At 39.2% G+C, this 16,898-nt stretch overlaps 1 long non-coding RNA gene across 1 annotated transcript; it reads right to left on the bottom strand.

The window, feature by feature from the left end:
* Positions 1–7,977: 7,977 nt before the first annotated feature.
* On the bottom strand, positions 7,978–12,345 carry LINC02155 (long intergenic non-protein coding RNA 2155). Its single transcript, NR_149085.1, has 4 exons — positions 12,309–12,345; positions 9,343–9,481; positions 8,710–8,850; positions 7,978–8,067 (listed from the first exon to the last, which is right to left on the bottom strand). It is a non-coding gene; the product is annotated as a long intergenic non-protein coding RNA 2155 (long non-coding RNA).
* Between the last annotated feature and the right edge of the window lie 4,553 nt (positions 12,346–16,898).

Here is a 16,898-nt window from a genome sequence, read left to right as displayed (position 1 = left end):
CTGCTGTTTTTGTGAGCATAGGAAGGCTTTCCATGAGTATTCCTCTCACTTCCTCCTGTATCCTCCATTTGCCTAACCACTTCCATGCCCTTCTCAATATGCATCAAGACCTTCAAGCTCCTATTCAAATGGAGGGAAGTTCAGGCCCCTTGCAACAGCTAACTGAAAAACAGGCTTCTCGTCTAGTGAAAGAACGTGGGAAAAGGGAATCTGAGAAAGGAGATAATCATTTTGTTGCTAGAATGCTCTGAGCAAGAGTCACTACAAGGTCATGGAGACAAGGATAGAGGCCGGCCTATATCCTTACCTATATAGGTAAGGCCTGGAGACATACAGAGTTGTCTGCTATGGGTTGCATTTCTTAGGCTATGTAAAAGAGTGAGGTTCCTTTCTGTCTTTGTAATCTCTTACTGGATTGCCAGTGATGCCCATCAAATTCTGGTTTAATGCTTACTCAATAATAAAACTGTTCTTTTTCTCTATTATCTTCGGGGAGAGGATTGGGGATTGAGAAAAGATTTTGCTTTTCCTAACATAGCAAACCCCTGTTTTGTAATATGCAGATGTTTTCTAATAATTAATATTATCAATGAAAAAATTCATCATTTTCAAGAATCAGTTAACTGTCCTATGCAACCTAATAAAGCAAACAAGAAAAATCCAAATCTTATGGAGCTATGCTGGACAGAGTCAAACCTCATCTGCACTTCTGTCTAGTGTCCTAAGCTTGACTTCTAGTACATAGAGTCGCTTACTTACCATGTTTTTCATCAAAAGTAAAAGTCACTAAGAGTTAACAGTGCAACATGTACTTGAGACTACTGGAAAAACAGTTTTACATACAATGCATGTAAGGAAAGTAAAATATGCTTTGGTAAAAGATTTTAAGAAAGCATGGGAATGTGGATTTTTTGCTAAGTTTAGAGGTTTAAAGGATTGTTTTAAGTTAGGTAGGATAAAGCTGAAGGTTTAAGCAAGATGTGGAAGGTCTGTAAAAGATTAATCTTGTAAAAGAAATTCTATATGTAAACATATTGGCTACGGTTAAAGGGGTATTATTCAGTTTTTCTAAAATTGAACATTGGAATAAAAGCACAGCACCGTTTTCTTAGAGCCTTGTTCTGCTGGGTTTCTTTGTTTTTTGTTTTTTTTTTTGGAGATGGAGTTTTGCTCTGTTGCCCGGGCTGGAGTGCAATGGTATGATCTCAGCTCACTGCAACCTCCGCCTACTGGGTTCAAGTGATTCTCCTGCCTCAGCCTCCTGAGTAGCTAGGATTACAGGCATGCACCACTATGCCTGGCTAATTTTTGTATTTTTAGTAGAGTCGGGAGTTTGCCATGTTGGCCAGGCTGGTCTTGAACTCCTGAAATCAAGTGATCCTCCCACCTCGGCCTCCCAAAGTGCTGGGATTACAGGCATGAGCCACCATGCCTAGCCTTGGTCTGCTCTTTAACAGAAAATTGTAAAGGGTTACAAAAGGCTTAAGAGAATCTTACCTTATGGTCAAACTGATTAAGATTGGAAGATTTGTCTATAAAGTTTTATTAAGAACTGAGTTTGACATCAATAGTACACTAATGCAAAGGTCAAATCTGGCTTTCTTTAGACTGTTTTTATATAAATGTATTATTGGTATATGTTCTAAAGTTGTGCAAAACTTCTATAATTCTGATATGACTCAGTATACATTATCAGTAATAATTACAATTGTTATGTTAAATTATTGTGTATTAGAGAGGTAACAAATTTCCTTGTCAATTGTGTCTTTGACCGTGGCTGCCCTTAGATATTTGTCATCCATATGCCAATGTCTTGTTTTAATCCTCTTTAAAAGGTGGTTTTATAATCAGCTATAGGGTTAACTTCAGGTTTCTGATAACTTTGGAGATTGTGACATTAGAATAGAAGAAAAACTTTCTGGATTCTCGAGGAAAGTTGAAATGCTCATGAATATCAAGCAGAACAGGAGTTAATGGCATGGACTGAAGTAATAAAGACTGAAATAATCATTGTATGACTTTTTGTTTAAAATGTTGCTGATCCTTTGTGTGTTTTTCAGAGCCAAGAACACTTTTGAGCTATTTACAGCTTTTAACAAATCAGTAAAGTATACTCCCATACCCAAAATTTAAAGCATATTTGTTTCTCTCTACCTGATGTCTCCAGAATTTGGAAACTATTTGTGAGTATTCTTAAATTATGGCAATATAATTATTTGCATAAGTGCAATAACAATCTGTTTCCTTTTGCAATAGGACACAATTCAAGAAACTGGTTATTTTACCCAGGCTTTGACTGGCATGGTATAATTTCCTTTATGGAATCCAATTTGACTTACAGAGTGAATAAAAGCCCCTTGGGAAACCTAGCCTCATACCTTGTCTACACAGTTCCTGTACAGGGTCCTTGACCTGTGGTAAGTAAAGAATGTCACTTTCTGACAGGCCCAGAAGCCCCAGATTATCTTGGGACCCCAAGAGGAGAGGAATTTATCCTCTTTTTAAAGCTTTATGAAAGTCTGATCTAAGATGCCTTATGGAACAAAGTTCTATCAATGCCAGTTTAAAAAGGAGCCTATATGGCAAATAATTATTCTTGCTGCACAATCACAGGTTGTGCAGTGTGATTATTTATGCAAATAATCAGGCCAAGGAAATAAGACTAAAGCTTATTTTGCAAACAAATCAGTCCCATCATTATTTGTTTTTAATAAAAATGAGGACTGGAGAGAGAAAAATTATGTTTCAAAAACTATGGTACATTTATTATTAGATTCTAGTCTCGTGAGTTGTTTTTGAGTTTTTGTCTGCAATTTAGACTAACCCTGTTTATCCCTGTGAACCAACCAGTGATCACTGGCTGCAGCTCAGAACAAACAAAAGAGATAGGTAATGTAAAAATATAGATCTAGCTTTTCTTCCTCATCTAAGTTTTTGATTTACTAGACTATTTCTCTAACAACTTAAATCTTTTTGTTTGCAGTCCTCCTTTACTGCCTTCCTAATTAATTTCCATTTTCTACTCTTAATACTGCCTTCACAAGATTAATTTGAGTGATATTAGTATGATTAGAATTTGTCCAACCTACTGACAACTTTTTAACAATGAACTTTAGGTTTCACTGTGAGATTGAAACTAAAAAGATCTCTTAAGAAAAATGCCTGCTAAAATTTAGAACATTTGTCCTACCTTGACAATCTACCATTTTAAACTGATTCTAGATAGACAATCATTAAAAAATAGAGATTTCTCCTGCCTGCCTTTTCTTTTAAAAACCAAAATTTATTTGCTTCATGTATCTACTTCTTTATGTAGGTATTTAGAAATACACTTAAGGAAACTAGAGGGTAAGTCGTGGTTTCATTTATGCAAAATATAGCCTCTCTTGATTTTAAAAGTAGAGTTATAAATCAAAATTGAAACAAAAATTTATCACAGATTGGTATAAGAAATTTTACAAATTCTCCTTAGAGAAACCAAATCTAAAAACAGCTTTAGAGTTGAATTATGCTGTATTTCAACTCTCTTACCTCTGGTATTCAGTTTATATTAGTAAAATTTAAATAACTTTTCTAGACCCTGCAAATTAATGGTCTATATTAACCTAATACATTTTTAGAGAGAAATTTATCTTGCTGCTAAGCAGTGTGTTATACAACATGGTGAATGTTTACGTGTTGGAATTTTTTAATATGTAATTTTATAGCACCACAAATATTTTTTAAAGAGTCTGGAGACTTGCTCATTTTAAGAGAAAAAGTATTTTTTAGAAATGTTTTAAGTGTCTTTTGGCTGTTTTTAATCAACAAATTTAAACTACCATAGACTATTTAGCATGATAAAAATTTAATGCTACATGAATGAATCTTTAAAGTTATATTAGATTAGGCTAATCACACAAACAAAAAAATAAAATAAACTCCAAGAGAGACATGGTTGAAAATGCCTGCACTGTAAGTGTATACAAGGCTCCCTGTGCACAAGTGATAGTCCCCGGAAAGCAATAAAGATGAGTGTTTAGTCAACTCAATTGCAGTGAAATCGATTCTTAAACTGTAGGTTTTAAGCCATATATTTCAGAAAAACCAGAATGTAGAATGCAAAGCAGGAAACAGATCTTGAAATATGTAATAGGGATTTCATTCACATCCTTGTGCTCATATTTCTTAGAAGTTTAAGACACCTAGCTAAAAGTTTAGTGTCTTAAAAGTCATTATAATACCATCTCATATAATTCTGTAAGAAAAGCTGTTAAAAGACTCTGCAAAAGCAGGATAGCATATACTAGATTTGTGAACTTCCTGCAAGACAAAACTGCATGTTCTAGATTTGCCAAAATGTCAAGAAACAAGAACACTTATAAATGTGTTTATATATTAGATATATTTTTAAGCCAATCACTAGGCCAGGTTCTGAGAAAAGTGACCATGAACACAGTAGGCAAAGGCCTGACCTTATACGGAAATGAAAAGGATAATGAAACGGCCCCTCTGATTAAGTGCTGTAAAGTAATGAATGACAGCAGACATACAGGTGCAGTGGGAATCATGGCAAGAACTCCTGAACTGGACTGGAGGAATGGTTGGGATCCAGAAGGACTTCCTGGAGGAAGGGGAATGTAGGCTGATAGCTGAAGGATGAGTGTAAGTTAACAAGGTGAAGAGAAGAGGGAGGACTCTTTCAAGCAGAGGAAATAGCTTACGTGAAGACTTAGAGGTAAGAGAGAACATAGGGCCCCCGGCCCCCACAACTCAAAGTTCAACAGGGCTGGAACCTACACCCATTAGATTGTTGAGAGGCAAGCAATGAACCTGAAAATATATAGGTGGAAACTACAGGTGGAGCATACAAAGCAGACTACAAAACATCAAAAAATATTCACCTAAGGAGGACAAAAAGCCTTTAGAATTGATATTTCAAAGAGACTGCTATATGCATGATGGACTGGAGGAATGCAGGTGAGGTTAAGTGGATGGCTTGCAGAGGTTTGGTGGTGGAGACAGAATGAAGTTAATAAGGCTGGGGTGGATTTAGAGGTAGAATTGTCAAGGCCTGAAGAGAGACAGGTTATGCAGAGTGAGCAGTAGGAAAGAGTAAAGAATCAAGGTGATTCTCAGATGTCTGACTTAGACAGCTGGGTGCGTGGTGGTGCCAGTCACTAAGAAAAAAAAAAAAATCAAGGAAAGAGCAGTTTGAGTTTGGCATGTGGATAAGCTTTGTGCATGTTGAACTGGAGATACCTGTGAGCCTTCTAAGTAGTGATGTACAGAAACAGCTGAATCTGTGGATCTGGAGCTCAGGAGCAGAACCCAAAGGAGATGAAGATATGGGCATCATCAGATTATGGTTGGTGATTGAAATCTCAGGCATGAGTGATGCTCCCAAGAAAAATGTGTGCTGTGAGAAGATAGCTGACCTTGGAATAACCCTACAGAGCACTGTAAATGTGTGATGATCAGAGAAAGATGGTCCTGTGTCTAAGCCCAGACTTCCTATGGGGAGTGGTGGTGGGGCTGAGGGGTGTGCCATAGCAGGCAGTAAGAATAAGAGAAAAATAAAAGTGAGATAGGAAAGGCAGGAAATCAAATACATGGTGATGTGTTACATATTTTGCCACAGCCTCAAAAGAAACACAGTGTGGTGTTTTGGTTATGCAAGACATCTCCAAAGAGATTTTGTGTAACCACTGCCCTTGGAAATAGTCTCTTGGGCAGAGGAAGAGTGTGCAGTGTCTCTTCTGGCTCTCTCTTATTTGCTGCCTTTCATTGATCACTCCAGCTTCCTGTGCATTAGCTTTCCCGCATTTCTTGGTTGTGCTAACCAGCCCTTCTAGGCAGCCATCAAGAAAGCAGAAGCTTCTGTGGGAGTATTTAGCACTAATCCTGGTAGGAACTTCTAGTACTCCCTCCACAGTGGGCACAGCTGAGGCTTTCCAAAACTTAAATGCTGGGAGATCTGAGAGAGATGGCAGTGGGGAGAGATGCAGTCCTGGTGACAGGACCTGGAGTTTTGCAAATGATTAAATAATGTAGCTTTCATCTGGCCTCTCTAGCTAGGAGTCAAGGTGAATGGCTGAATCAATTTCTAAAATTACATAATGAATTTTTTAAAATGCAAAGTGAAATCAGGTCTAGTACATCCTGTAAGGAAAACTGAGAGGATAGAAAAGTGGAAGAAAGCAAAATGATGTCACAGATAGCAAGGAAAGAGTATGTCTACTGTTCCTGTCAAGTCAAACAAAATAAAAACTGTAGTAGATATGTATGGATTCCCATGCTTCTGAGAATGTAGCTTTCCTGTGGGGGAATAATGGCTCCTCTACTTTTAGTTCATTCAGTTTGGTTTGAGCAAACTCCACCCAATGGGTCTTACGGTGGCCCAGGTACAAGCATTCCACCTGTGAACCCCCAGCCACCCCACACACACTGAGCACAGTAGAGGCCTGTGAGTCAGTGAGGCCAATGGGACTCCATGCTAGGGATTTTGCTGGAACAACTGGTACACAGCTGGAAGTCTGGGAATTTCAAATTTTGTAAACCAATGAATAAATGTCCTTTCTTTGATTATACCAGTTTGAGTTGTTTTTTTTTTCTATTATTCTGCCATTTCTGTTCCTCCCAACTGCTACAGAGGCAGAGAAGTGTCCACTGGATTTAGTTACAGAGACGCTGTGGCCTCAGTGAGGATGGTGTCAGTGGAGTGGCGCTGGCAGAAATTGAGGTGATTCTGGCCAGGCACGGTGGCTCACACTTGTAATCCCAGCACTTTGGGAGGCCAAAGCTGGCAGATCACAAGGTCGGGAGTTCGAGACCAGCCTGGCCAACATGGCGAAACCCCATCTCTACTAAAAATACAAACATTACCCGGGCGTGGTGGTGGGTGCCTGTAATCCCAGCTACTCGGGAGGCTGAGGCAGGAGAATTGCTTGAACCCAGGAGGCAGAGGTTGCAGTGAGCTGAGATCGCACCACTGCACTCCAGCATGGATGACAGAGCAAGACTCCATCTCAAAAAAAAAAAAAAGAAGAAGAAGAAGAAGTTGGGGTGATTCTCACTACTGCTTTATCCTCTTTCTTCAACCCTTAAAATGTTGTTTTATCTACTTAAGAGGGGAGGACAATGATTAGAGAAGCAGAAATGACCAGCACAGACTGCATGTTACCTTTCTGCCTTTTGGTCTGGACCTCACCTGGCAGCTGGGGCTACCTCTTCCTGGGTGCCAAAGCACCTCCAGAACATAGCAGATGCCCATTAATTTTCAAAAGTTGCAAGGACTCAATCATAATGAAGAGGTTTGATCTGAATTTGTGTTTTTTTCAAGTGTCTAATTTTGTACCAGTTGCATAGATAACTTTTATTAAATACAAAAGATTCATTTGAGATGCCTGACCCACCTAGGCAAGGAGCAGCCCAGAGAAGGTACTAGATCTACAATTTCTACAGAAGACAGTGTCCTTCTGATGGCTGAAGAGGCTTATATTTTGGTCAAATTTTGAAAATCCGATTACTCTTAAGACTGTAGATGTAAAAATCTTCATATTAATTTTATGACTCATTCCTTCATCTCAACTCTTTTCCTTTAGGATGGCAAGAAATCTTTTACTCAAACCTCAGATTCCCCTCACAATATGTCTTGTATCTGCCCATTCTTTCCTATTCAAATCATATTCGCAGATTCAGGTGTTCATTAACTCTGGCCTAGAATAAAGAAACAACGTTCTAATTGGTCGTTGTGCCTCCAGTGCCTCCAGTCACTACCTGTTTTTATGCATCATTATACACATTACTAGTAGACTAATAATTGTATAATTTTATCAAATGTCTGAGCCTTGTTAAAGCAGAGGCACTGACCGTATACCTATAGAGTGTTTTTACTTGTGTTGTAGCATATATGATACCCAGTGTTTTATTACAATTAGTTGTAGACTATCTTAGATCATTTTGTGCTGCTATAACAGAATACCTAAGACGGAGTAATTGATAATGAACATAAATTTATTGGCTCACAGTTATGGGGGGCTGAGGAGTCCAAGATTGAGAGGCCAGTATCTGGCAAGGGCTTTCTTGCTGCAACATTCCATGGTGGAAGGGCACAAAGAGAGGGAGGAAAAGCAAGAAAGGGCCAAACACATTTACAACAAAACCCCTCTATAACAAAATCAATCCCAAGATAACAGCATTAATCCATTCAAGAGGGCAGAGCCCTCATGACCTAAGCACCTTTTAAAGGTCCCAACTCTCAACAGTATTGCATTGCATTAAACTATTGCATTGCACTACTGCATTAAAACTTAATCAGTTTTCTACACATGAACTTTTGAGGATACATTCAAATCATGGCATAGGTATTTGTGTCTTTATATTTATTTGTCAGTTTTCTTTAAAACATAGTAAATTTTTTGGAGGCTGCAGGATAATTCAATGAGCATCAACTCATGTATATGGCCAGAAGGCAATTAAGTGGAGATTTCCTTAAATGCTGGCATATGGCAGGTAGATATTGATTTCCAAGTTAGCTACTGGAAATGTGGTCTGAGACATGGCATCGGTTTACTTATTATTTACAGACTTGGTCAATATGGACCAAAATATCCGTCCTGTTTCTATATTTTTAATACATTCAATAATAATGTGATATAGAATTGATATGAGAACTAACAGTGATAACTAAAACATTCTTTTGGTGAATATTTTTTCTTTACCATGTACCTTTTTGCTTGGTATTTTTGCGGTATCTTGGTTGAGCCTTTATGCTTTTTCAAACTCAGAGAATATCTATAGTAAACAATCAAGTGCATATGTTTAAAATTAAAATGCTTTTGAATATATTTTCTGATTTCCCATCTGCACCTGCAAAAAAAATAAATTCTTTTCTGAAGGGAAAAGGAAATGTATTTACAAGGTTAATTTCTTGGGGGAAAAGTGGGGTTTTTAGAGCAACTTTAATTTATTTTTTTCTTCAATAAAATAAAACTAAAATAAAAAATAATTTAGTTTTTATTTTTCTTCAACTTACAGCTTATGATTTAATTTTATTCACATTTTATATTCAGATTTGCATGATAAAGAGATGCTATGTCATTTTTAAACACCTCTTCATCATCTGAAATGCTGAAGAAAGAGAACTAAGGAATAAAATAGAGAAAGGATTTTAAAAATCTCATATTGGATCAATTTCTCTAATCCTCTAATATTCAGCACTAATTAGCAGTGGCACATAACTGTGTTTCTTGTAGAAGGTTTGAAATGAGTATTTATCACAATTTTCAGATTTTCATCTTAGCTCAATAATGTCATCTCATCCCTTTTTTCTTTCTTTCTTTCTTTCTTAAATAGAATCACCTGTGTAATGGAAGTCGGGATCTTCAGTGTAAAGAATAAATATCCAAATTTTCTCTGAACAGAAGTCAGCATTAGCTTGGCTAGCATGTAATCCAAAAGCTCTCCTTTCAATTTTGATCCTGTAACTTTGTCAAAGACACTGCCAGACATATGTAGAACCAACATTACTGCCCAAGTGTGATAAAAGCTTTCTAGAAGGATAAGAAAAATTTCTCATCCAAAAATGTTAGGACACAAATAAAGCTCTAAAACCATCTTTTTCCCTTTTTGGTCAATCTATTTGCAAAATGTATCTGAGAACATTTAAAAGATGTGGGCTATTTGGAAGAATGAGCAGTGGCTCAGTGTGTGCCAAGCCCTTATTCCTTGTGTGGAGTTACCCCATAGAAGTGAGTGAATGTGAAGAATGGCACTACCATTTGGGAAGCAATTCCTATTTGCCACATCTCCACTAAGCACTTTACACACATTACTTTCTTATGTTATTCTTCCTAACACATTGAAGGATGACCATTGTACATTTTTTTAAGAGATGAAAATTGAATCACGGTTTCATTACAAGAAATTTAGGTCAAATGCAAAGGATCACAATTTAGAATATCTTCAGATTTTTCAAAAGTTAATGTAAAAGATAGCTGTGGAAAGATACTTTCAAAATTTGGCAGGCAAAATATCCCTTACTCAGATTACATACCCAGGCAAACTATGAATCAGGTGAGAACAGAATAAGGACATTTTCAAGCAAGAGTGGTAAAATGACAACAAAAATAAACAAAAGTCCCACCATTTCTTAAAAGGCTGTGGTCCAACAAAAAGATAAAATGGAAAAGGAAAAGAAAAGGAGAAACTTATGGGCTACAGAAAACAGAATATAGAAAAAAAAAAAAGGAAGATATTTCTCCACCCCTCTTGAATCTGGACTGGCTGTGATTGTCTTAGGACAATGAAATGGTGACAAAAGTAACACAAGTGGAAGCTTTGAAGGGTTTGCATGCTAGAGCTTCCTCCATACTGTTCGTAGGAGCCCTGCCATCTCGCTGTGTAGAAAAGTCTGAGCTTGACTGCCAGGTAATGAAAAACACATGGCCCAGTCATGGCCCCAATTAACCTGCCCAGCCAGTTAACTCCAAAAGCAAAGTTTTTAGCTCAAATGCACTCAGACACATGAGTGAATGCAACAAAAGACCAGCAAAAAACCACTTGGCTGAGCACAGCTCAAACTGCTGACCCACAAAATTGTAATAGTGATGGTTGTTTAAAGCAGCCACGTTTTGCAGTAGCTTTTATGCTAGAAGAGCTAACTGATAATAAAATTGGAAATCCAATGTGGCCTGCTATCAAAAGAAAACTTGAAATATATGTCACTGGCTTTGAGACCAGGCAACAGACAGAAGCTGAAAAAGCAGTGAAGAAGTTATTTGCAAAGTTTGGCAAATGGTGAGTGGAGTTCTACAGGAGCAAAACAATTGGCAGAACTTACAGCTGCAGCAACTCTGAAAAGTGCAAGCACCCAATACATTTTCAGATTTGCTAAGGAGACCACCAGCCAGAATCTTGAAAGTGCTATTTCAATTCTCTTATGATAAGAGGCAGGAAGAAAGAGATGAGTTAAAGAAAAAATTGTTTCATTTATATGCAGAATTTAGAAAGAATATAGAAGGCTCAGCATTTACTGGGTTAGAAAATAAAATCTCATGTTCTGCCTCTTCAATTAGTAAAACATTCTTAATGGTAAATATCAAATCAAAAGTGTGTCTGCAGGCCGGTGTGGTGGCTCACTGTAATCCCAGCACTTTGGGAGGCCAATGGGAGCGGATTACTGGAGGCCAGGAGTTCAAGACTAGTCTGGTGAAAGGGCTTCTTTTTTTTTGAGACAGAGTCTCGCTTTGTCTCCCAGGCTGGAGTGCAGTGGTGCCATCTCAGCTCACTGCAAGCTCCGCCTCCCAGGTTCACACCATTCTCCTGCCTCAGCCTCCCGAGTAGCTGGGACTACAGGCAAAAATACAAAAATTACCTGGGTGTGATGGCGGGCACCTGTAGTCCCAGCCACTTGGGAGGCTGAGGTATAAGAATCACTTGAACTCATGAGGCAGAAGTTGCAGTGAGCCAAGATCATGCTACTGCACTCCAGCTTGGGTGACAGAGTGAGACTCTGTCTCAAATAAATAAATAAATATAAATACAAGTGTGACTGAAAAGCCAATTGTAAGACCTCTAAAATATTTAGAGTAGTGCTAGAAATACCTTTCAACTAAATGAAAGGACTTCTGAGAAACTTATCGAAGCAAAAGAGCTACTACATTTGACCTAAAGGGACTGAAATTATTCACATTTCAGAAAGGATCTCTGAGATCCCAAAATTCCACTTGAAGAAAGCAGATTTAGACAGCTGCTCTCCTGCAAAATGGGCCTTTTTTTTTAATAAGGAGAAAATGACATTTCCCAAAAGGTACCATAAGCCCAAGAGATGGAGCCAACAGCCATGAATTAGCAATAGATTAGGAAGCCATTAATCTTGAATTAGCAATAGATTAGGAAGCAACAGATTGGAAGACCATTCCCAGGGAGCAGAAAAGCTCTAATTAAGGAACATCTGCTGCCAATAGAGCAAGGAATTTGGCATATTTATCTTGCAGGATTTCAAAATTCTTATGAACCAGTGAATGCCTGTTTTGATTGAGAGTGTCTATTATGGAATGTTATAACTATATGGTAGAGTATGGCACAGCATGATTTGTATGGGGTATCTATATGCATACAGAGAGTGTGTGTGGTAGGGAGCATATACCTTCTCTTAATTCATTAGTATCTGGATATAAAGGATGCATATCTGAGGGGGTACTGAGACCCTGGACTTTTGGGGGATCTAAATTAGGGAGCATTTCTTACAAGTGAGAGTAATATAAGTTATTGTGGCCAGAAAGTAGACTGTGGTAGATGGCAAAAATATCCACAATGCTTTGTACCTCTGCCATCAAATGTTGAATCTTCCTCTACCTCCATGGGTCTGGTCTGATCTTGTAACTTGTTTTGGCTAATGGAATACAAATAAATATTATGCAGGCAAATAATGGAAATAGTGCATGTGCATTGGGGATTCTTCTCTTGCTGCTTTTGAGTCTGCATGAAGAAATCTGAGCTAGACTACTGGTTAATCAGAAATGTGTGGTACAATCACCACCTTTGCCCCAGCTGAACCGTCAGCCCCAGGAAGCCCTAGAAGCTGAAACATCTAGCTGACAGGCAGCTACTGAAGATATATACATAAGTCAGAGATCTCAGAGAAAGCCAGCAAAAGAACCACCCAGCTGAGCCCAGACCAATTTGCTGATTCATGGGCCATAAGCTAAATAAATGACTGATCTGTGGTAATTTGTTACTTGATTGCTAACTGATAAACTCACCACACAGCAATTGGCTTATGAACCATTTATTCTACAGTTTAGAAAGTAACACATTACTCACTCACTCCTCTCCTTTATGCTTACTGGCAACACTTTAATTTGAACCTGCCCCAGTTTCAATGGGCATATTTTTAAGTGCCAGGATATACTGCATATTTATGCTGGAGCTTGTCTGTGGTTCTTCAATGCCTTTAAAATAAAAAGTAGTAATGCCTTGATAGGCAGATAAAAATTCAGAATCCAAATCTATTTGAAAGACAAATTTCCGTGTGTTCCCTCCTCTGTGAGGATATTCATCATTATTCCATCCCCTCACATCTGTTGTGCTTAAAAATCATTTCAATCTGTGTGGAATCTCTTTGACAATGGACTTCACTATGCCAAGATCACAAAATTAAATTAGTACTACAGCCAAGAGTTAACCTGAGGCGCATTCATTCCACTTAACCTCTCCATCCCTAGTGATTTACATAAATGTCTCTCCCACCCCCATGAGTGACAGTGACCTGTTTTGTGAGGCTCTGCCTTCATGCCACCTCCTGTTCTAATAATGGGAGGCTGGAGATACACAGACTTGGGTTTAGATATTTGCTCTGGCACTTACGTGTTTTGTGTCAGCATGATTATATGTACCTCATTATATTTTATAAGGATTAAATGAGATAATCCATGAGAAATACCTTAGGACCTTCCATGTATTAAACTCTCTATTTTTTTAAAAAAAAAATATTAATGTGACTGACAGGTACATAACACCTCTGCTTTTTCTGTCATTGTAACAAGGAGTTTATAAGGCTGAGGTGCTCCATCAGGGTTCATTGCACTGGATAAAGATGAGGGCTGCTTCTTGGTCATTGTGTAATCTCTTTAGCATATGCTATTATTTGGTTGAAGGGTGAGAACAGATTTGACCATGCAGTAGGTTGCATCCTCTCTGTGTAGCTGAACATAAGGGGGAGGTCTGCCTGTTTAGCTTACATGGAGCCATTCCTGAGAGAGCATCATGCTCTGGGAGGCAGCAGGGCTTTCTGGGTTGAGCACAGGAGCAGGAATCATGGGACTCGAGCTTCAAGCTGCCAAGTTTTAGTGCTAATTTGATCAGTGACCTTGTGCAAACCACTTCCCTCCTTTTCTTTTTATTAGAGAAAAATAATTGATCTGATGACCACATCACAAAGATGTAGTGAAGGTGAATGTAGACTATCTGGAGCAGCTTCAGAGGGAAAAACCACAGAGTGCATAATTAGTTTTATAATCTATAATTAACTCTATAAATAGTGAAGAGGTATCCACACCTGAATTATACAATTAAAAATTAGACTTTTATCTTTCTAAGGAAAATTAAGACCAATTACTTGGTAATATTAGTAGAGTTGACAAACTGAAAATAAAGATCATGGCCTGAACACAGCCTTAATGCATCTGGACTCTGTAGATAAGATGAGCTCCTAGAGGAGACTGTAACATGCACATCTGAAGGCAAATGATGGTCAGATAAACATCAGCAAGATGTTAGAATAGAATTCTCCAAAATTCATCCCACTGCAGAAACATCAATTTGAATCACTATCCATGCACAAAAATATCTTCACAAGGTCTAGGGAAATGAGGTGAGAGATTACACACCTAGGTATAGCATGAAAAAAAGAAGAGACAGAAGATACCCAACATTTGAAGGAAAGAGAGATAAGTTAGCACTGACCTTTGCTTCAGACCCCAACACTGGATCCACCCCAGTAAAACCCAGCACTGGGCATGCGCCCACAGCCCCAGGCTCTAGGTCAGTATCTGTAGACTGAGCATCCAAGCCTGCTCTTATGCCTTATGCCAGATCCCACAGCCTCAAGCTTCAGGCCTGCCTAGTAGACTCGGTCTCCATCTCCTTAATGCTGACCCTAGGCCAGCTCTCACATAGTAAGGTTCTAGGCCCAGCCTAGGCGATACCAGGCTAGCCCCAGCAGCCCTGGGCTCCAGACAACTCCAAGCCATGGGCTGGTCCCCATGATCCCAGCCTCCACAATCCTAGTCAACAGGCTGGCACCTATGGACCCAGCCAATAGGCCAGACCCTGCAGAAACAGAAAATAGGCCCATTCAGCACAAAACCAGACCCTGTGCCCCCAGGATTCAGGCATACCCTAGCACCAAGTCAACACTGCTGGCCTCTAATACCAGGTGGGCACCTGCAGATACAGTTTCCAGGCCTGCCCAGTGCCAGGCCAGTCCTCACAGACCCACTGTCCAGATTGGCCCCTGCAGCCTCACACATCAGCAGACCCAGTGTTCAGGATGGTCTTAGCAGACCCCAGGATTGATTGATCACCACAGACCCAGGCTGCAGGACTGCCCCTGTGTACCCAAGTTCTAGACTGGTTCCCAAGGACCCAGGACCAAGGCCAACACTTAAGGACCTAGCCTGCAGGCCAGCATTTGCAGATCCAGTCTCCAGGCCAGCACTAATGGACACAAGCTCCAGGTCAATCCCCACAACCCCATGCTACAGGCCAACCCCAGTGACTCCAGACACCAGGCAAGAACCTAAAATCCTAGGTTAGAGACCAGTCCATTTGGACCCACATTCTATGCCAGCTCCAGCACCAGGCCAGCCCAGGCCACAGGCCAGTCCCTGTGGCCCCTGACTTGAGAGGATTCAGAGGCCAGGCCTGCTCTAGGAGATCCAGGGCCCAAGCCCACCCAATACATCCAGTGCCAGGCTGGACCCTATGGACTGAGGCTCCAAGACCACCCCATGTGAAAGCAGGCTCCAAGCCAGCACATGTGGACTCAGGGCCCAGGTCCATTCCAGTGATCCCAGGCACTAGGCCCATCCCAGATCTTGGTCTGCCCCTGGAGACTCAGAATTAAGGCCCATCCCTGTACCAGTTTACTCCCTGTGAACCCAGGGTCCAGGCCATCCCCACACACTCAATTAACAGGTCCACCTTAGTGGATCCAGGCTTCAGCCTCAATTCTGCAGACTCAGACATCAGGCCACCCACCTGCTAAGTCAGGCTCAAGGTCAGCCTGATTGAGGACTCCAGCAGTAAACCCACCTTTGGACTATACCAGACAACCTGTTCAAAATCTCTGGGCAGGCTGACTGGTAAAGGGCTTTCCCAGACAAAGCCACTCTTCAAACACTGAAATAAGTCCCTGCTTCTTCCAAAAGTGTAGACATCAACATAAGGCAACAAGAAATATGAAAAACCAAGGAGACATAACACCACCAAAAGAACACAACAATCTCACAATAATTGACTCCAAAAGAAATGAAGATAAAAAAATGGCCTGATAGATAACTAAAAATAATTGTTTTAAGAAAGCTTAATAACCTGAAAAAAAATCAAACAATTAACTGAAATTAGAAAAAGAACAAATGACCAAAATAGGATATTTAACAGAGAGATTGAAATTATTTTTTAAAAAATTAAATAGAAATTCTGAAGCTGAAAAATACAATGAATGAAATTTTAAAATGCAATAGAGAGAATCAACAACAGAACTGATCAAGCAAAAGAAAGAATTTGGGAACATGAAAGATTGATTGAAAATATACAGTTAGAGGAGAAAAAAAGAATGAAAAAATGTGAAGAAAACTTATGGGATGTATAGGACAGCATCAAAAGGGCAAGTGTTATAGTAGTAAGAATATGTAAAAGAGAAAAGAAAGACAATGTAGAAACCTTTTTTAAAGAAATAAGAGTAGAAAACTTTCCAAATTTTGGAGAGGAATATAAATAGTACACTTATAGAAAGGTCAAAGTTCTCCAATCAAATTCAATCCAAACAAGACTATACAAAGTTTTAGTCAAGCTATCATGTTATAGTCAAGCTATCAAAAACCAAGGACAAAGAGAAAATCCTGAAAGCAATGAGAAAAATGATGCAAATAATATTTAATGAAGTTCCAGTAAAGTAGAACGTAAAATTTCTCAGGAGAGATCTTATAGGCCAGGAGAAAGTGCGATGACGTATACAAAGTGATGAAGTAAAAATAATAATTAAACTGCCAACTAAGAACACTATATCCAAAAATAAGATAAATTTCTTCTTCATTTCTTCTTCAGAGGAAGATCATGGCTCGAACACAGCCTTAATGCATCTGGACTCTGTAGTAAGATAAAGCTTCTGGTGGAGACTGTGACAGGCACAT

The sequence above is a fragment of the Homo sapiens genome, chromosome 8 (assembly GCF_000001405.40).
Source record: "Homo sapiens chromosome 8, GRCh38.p14 Primary Assembly".
NCBI classification, from domain to species: domain Eukaryota; kingdom Metazoa; phylum Chordata; class Mammalia; order Primates; family Hominidae; genus Homo; species Homo sapiens.
This window is presented reverse-complemented; position numbering and strand designations above follow the sequence as displayed.